The sequence below is a fragment of the Homo sapiens genome, chromosome 7, assembly GCF_000001405.40.
Source record: "Homo sapiens chromosome 7, GRCh38.p14 Primary Assembly".
Classification (NCBI taxonomy): Eukaryota; Metazoa; Chordata; class Mammalia; order Primates; family Hominidae; genus Homo; species Homo sapiens.
In genome coordinates this window covers 76,173,660-76,178,692 of record NC_000007.14, presented here as the reverse complement: position 1 = coordinate 76,178,692, position 5,033 = coordinate 76,173,660, and the positions used below count along the sequence as shown (strand labels likewise).

The window sequence follows — 5,033 nt, the reverse complement described above, 5'->3', positions numbered from 1 at the left end:
TTTGTAGAGACATGGGAGGTGGGGGGCAGTCTCACTATGTTGCCCAGGCTTGTCTTGAACTGGGCTAAAGGGATCTTCCCACCTGGGCCTCCCAAAGCGCTGGGATTACAGGCGTGAGCCACCGTGCTTGGTCTCTGCCTTGCTTCTCTTGGGCAAGATGACAGCTTCTGCACTTCCTGCACCGATACTGTGTCTCCGGTTTCCACCGCCCTCCTGGATCCACTCCGGCCTCCCTTCTCGCCGTCTGAAGGCGGCTGTCCCTCCTGCCTAGATGAGCAGAGACCAGACAGAGCCGGAAGCTGGATTTGGCTCTGGAATGCTAATGAGCATTCTGCCGACCGTGACCTCCCGGGGCTGGAGCAGGGCTGGTGCAGCCTCAGCCTCTGGCTCCCTCTGCAGGCAGCAGGCGGGAACTGCGGGGGAGTTGTGGCCTGCGGGAGACCAGGTCCTCCTCGTGGAGGTCAGGGTTGTTCTAGGTTACGCTGTTCATCCCGTCCGCGATCGCAGACGAGACTCGAGACTTGCTTTCTTTATAATTACCCAGCGTGGCTGGGTGGCCCCAGGACTTAACAGCAGCTTCTTTGCTGGATGGACTCTTCTGCTGTCTAAGTACCTTCGCCCTGGGCGCCCCCTACTCCCACACTCTGTTATTTAAAGACTGGTTCTCCACCTGGTGGGTGGCTTATGCCTGTAATCCCAGCACTTTGGGAGACTGAGGTGGGAGGAATCCAGGAGTTGGAGACCAGCCTGAGCAACATAGAGCGACCCCGACTCTACAAAAAAAAAAATTAGGTGTGGTGGCATATGCCTGTAGTCCCAGCTACTCAGGAGGCTGAGGCAAGAGGATCACTTGGGCCTGGAAGGTGGAGGCTGCAGTGAGCTATGATTGTACCACTGCACTCCAGCCTGGGAAACAGAGGGAGACCTGATCTCAAAAACAAAACAAAGGCCGGGCGCTGTGGCTCATGCCTGTAATCCCAGCACTTTGGGAGGCTGAGGTGGCCGGATCACCTGAGGTCAGGAGTTCAAGACCAGCCTGGCCAACATGGTGAAACCCCGTCTCTGCTAAAAATACAAAAATTAACCGGGCATGGTGGCAGGCACCTGTAGTCTCAGCTACTCAAGAGGCTGAGTCAGGAGAATTGCTTGAACCCAGGAGGCTGTGGTTGCAGTGAGCCAAGACTGCACCACTGCACTCCAGCCTGGGAGACAGAGTGAGACTCTGTCTAAAGAAAAAAAAAAGAAAGAAATAGTGGCCAGGCACGGTGGCTCACGCCTGTAATCACTTTGGGAGGCCCAGGCAGGAGATGGCTTGAGTCCAGGAGTTTGAGAACAGTCTGGGCGATATGGCCAGACCCTATCTCTAAAAAAATAAAATCAATCAACCAACCAATCAATTAATCAATCAATCAAAAAATTAGCTGGGCATGGTGGCACACACCTGTGGTCCCAGCTATTCGGGTGGCTGAGGCACAAAAATCGCTTGATGGCAATTTGGTGCTGCTCCTGACCCTGGGTGCTGAGCAGGCCCGGTGCTGTCTCCCGTGGACCTGGTCGGGCCTTACCTCTTGATGACAAACTGGATGCTGTTGCTGGCCTCCAGAATCTTCCAGAGCTTGGCGATCCCGAAGCAGTTGGGCCTGTGGAGAGAGATGCCTTCAGGCAGCCCCACCACAAACAGCTCCTCCGGGTGCATCAGAAACTTGGAGTATGGCACCTTGACGGGCTCCGAGATGCCAATGGCCTTGGCTGCAGAGACATGGCTGCTGTAAGGCCACCCGGTGCCACAGGGCCAGGAATCTCAACCCCTGTGTCTCATGCCTGTGTAGGGGGCAAAGCTGCCAGAGCCCTTTTGAGGGCCTTCCTGGGAGGTGAGCCAGGCGTGAGCCACCTTGCCCTGCTTATATTACTTATTTGCTTACTGTTTATCTCTCCACATGAGGATGTGTACCCTAGGAGGTGGGGACATCTGTTTGGTCCACTGCTTTTTCCCCAGCGCCTTGTGCAGGACCTAGTACACAGTAGGTGCTCAATAAATATTTGTTGAGTCAGGGTGCGTTGGCTCACGCCTGTAATCCCAGCTCTTTGGGAGGCCGAGGCAGGAGGATCATTTGAGGTCAGGAGTTCGAGACCTGCCTGGCCATCATGGTGAAACCCCGCCTCTACTAAAAATGCAAAACAGTTAGCCAGGCATGGTGGCGGGCACCTGTAATCCCAGCTACTCAGGAGGTTGAGGCAGGAGAAGTGCTTGAACCCAGGAGGCGGAGGTTGCAGTGAGCTGAGATCGCGCCACTGCACTCCAGCCTGGGAAACAGAGTAAGGCTCCATCTCAAAACATTTAAGAGATGGGTCTCTCTATGTTGCCCAGGCTGATCTTGAACTCCCAGCCTCAAGTAATCCCCTCGCTTTGGCTTCCCAAAGTGTTGGGATTACAGGCATGAGCCACCTTAGCCTGCCTATTTTACTTATTTGCTTACTATCCATCTATCTCTTCACAGGCAGATGTGCACCCCAGGAGGTGGGTACTTCTGCTTGGTTCACTGCTTTGTCTCCAGCTCCTTACACAGGACCTGGTACACAATAGATGCTCAATAAATAGCTGTTGGATAAACGGACAAATTAATCCCAACAGGTGGCTCCTGGGAAGCATGCTGGGCCTTGTTAGAAATGGGGCCTATGGTCGGGTGTGGTGGCTCACGCCTAAAATCCCAGCACTTTGGGAGGCTGATGAGGGTGGATCACCTGAGGTCAGGAGTTCGAGACCAGCCTGACCAACATGGTGAAAGCCTGTCTCTACTAAAAATACAAAATTAGCCAGGCATGGTGGCACGTGCCTGTAATCCCAGCTACTCAGGAGGCTGAGGCAGGAAAATCGCTTGAACTCGGGAGGCGGAGGTTGCAATGAGCTGAGATTGCTCCAAAGTCTCTAAATAAATAAATAGAGCCTACTTGAGGTTTCCAAAAGGAACCCAGCCTTGGATTGGGGTCAGGCATATATTGGGTTTCCTCTACTAGAGGCGGTCAAAATCAAGAAAAGTCTGGGGCCTGCCTGGCCCACCCCTTTCCGTTTGCTCCCTGGGGAGATGAGTCCTAAGCACCACCAGCCCAGGTCCATTTCTTACCTGTCAGCGTCTCCATCCCATAACCAGAATCCTCCGATGGCAGGTGCCCAGGCATTGAGTCTGTCATTTCCTCAGAGGTTGGCAAGGCATCTGAAGACAAAACTCCAAATGACATGGGTGTCTTCTGCCTGTCATACTCCTGTCACAGTCCTTCAGGGACCACCCAGCCCAGTCTCCCCACAGGCAAGGGTCTTTTTCTTTCTCTCTTTTTTTTTTGGTTCGAGATGGAGTCTCACACTGTCGTCCAGGCTGGAGTGCAGTGGCGCCATGTCGGCTCACTGTAACCTCTGCCTCCTGGGTTCAAGCGATTCTCCTTCCTCAGCCTCCCGAGTAGCTGGGACTACCAGGCGTGAGCCACCATGCCTGGCTAATTTTTGTGTTTTTAGTAGAGATGGGGTTTCACCATGTTGGCCAGGCTGGTCTCAAACTCCTGACCTCTGGTGATCTGCCCGCCTCGGCCTCCCAAAGTGCTGGGATTACAGACGTGAGCCACTGCGCCCAGTCATTTTTTTTTTTTTTGAGATAGGGTCTCACTCTGTTGCCCAGGCTGGAGTGCAGTGGTGCGATCACAGCTCACTGCAGCCTCCAGCTCTTGGTCTCAAGTGATCCTCCTGCCTCAGCCTCCTGAGAAGCTACACTGACAGGCACACACCACCACATCTGGTTAACTCTTTGTATTTTTAGTAGAGATGGGGGTCTTGTTATGTTGCCCAGGCTGGTCTTGAACTCCTAGCCTCAAGCAATCCTCCCATGTCAGCCACCCAAAATGCCAGGATTACAAGCATGAGCCACTGTGCCCGGCACCCTCTTGGCTTCTGACAGTCACCCCATACTGAGGATCCAGTGCCCAAATCTACCCTCTCCTCTGAAGATGTGGAAAATGAGGCTGGGCAGGGGGTAGGGTCCAACTCAGAGCCTCTCACGCTCATGCCTTTTTCTTCTCACCAGCCTCACAAATCCCAGGGAAGCCAAGCCAGGGAGGTGAAGTTTGAGGGGACCTTCTGGAAGGTCAGAGCTGAGAACGCTGATTCTCAATGCAGGGGACAGATGTGGCCAGAAAAAGCATTCACAATACCCTGATGTTTCTCAGAATCCACGGAGAGAAACAGTGGCCTGGAGGCCTCTTCTTCACCAGGGCAGACCCTCGGGAGGCTAACGATACGGCCCTGATTTCTGCAGGGGGTGGTCAGACGCCCGTCCCTTACCTGGGACAGTGACCTGAATGATGTCCAGAACCTCTGGTTCAATTTTGATCGGCCTCAGCCCACCCAGCTCCCCAGAGGTTCCTGCAAGGAGGAAAGGAAGGATCTGGTCAAGTCTGGCACAAGCCTGACTGGGCAGAGTGAGTCTTTCCAGAACATTCTGTTGTCTGTAACTTGTTATTGAGGCCCTACCTAGGACAAGTCATGTCAGTCCCCTGGCTCCTGCCCAGACCAGAACTGGAGGTCAGGGGGGCCCTCAGGCCAGGCTTAGAGGCTCCAATTTACAGACCCAGTGACTAAGACCCCCTAGAGGGGAGGCTGCTGGTCCAAGATCCTGGGGCCTGGGTCTAGGCATCAACAGGAGGCAGTGGTGATGGCCAGCACCCAGCTCTCCATGTCCCCGACCCCAGTAAGCTCCCAGCATGCCTTGCACCTCAGCGCTGTGAGGCCTGGGAGATGCAGGTGGGCAGAGGAGGCTCGTTAGCACTCCAGGCTCATGGGCTGAGTTGAGCTCCCCGCCAAGGCTGCCGGGTAGGGCTGGTGGTTGCCCTCCCGGACCATGACATACACAGTGGGCCCTATTCCTTCTCACCTGGCCCGCAGTCTTCAGACATGCTGCCCTTGTCTGACCTGTGAAGGGAAGCAGGAAATGACACCTGTCAGCCAAGTCCAGGGCCACCCTGCCCCAGCCTTGCCCCTCCAGGCGGTC

The 5,033-nt window shown here is 54.8% G+C and overlaps 1 pseudogene; it reads right to left on the bottom strand.

The window, feature by feature from the left end:
- Positions 1,537-3,215, bottom strand: LOC100420548 (GTF2I repeat domain containing 1 pseudogene; annotated as a pseudogene).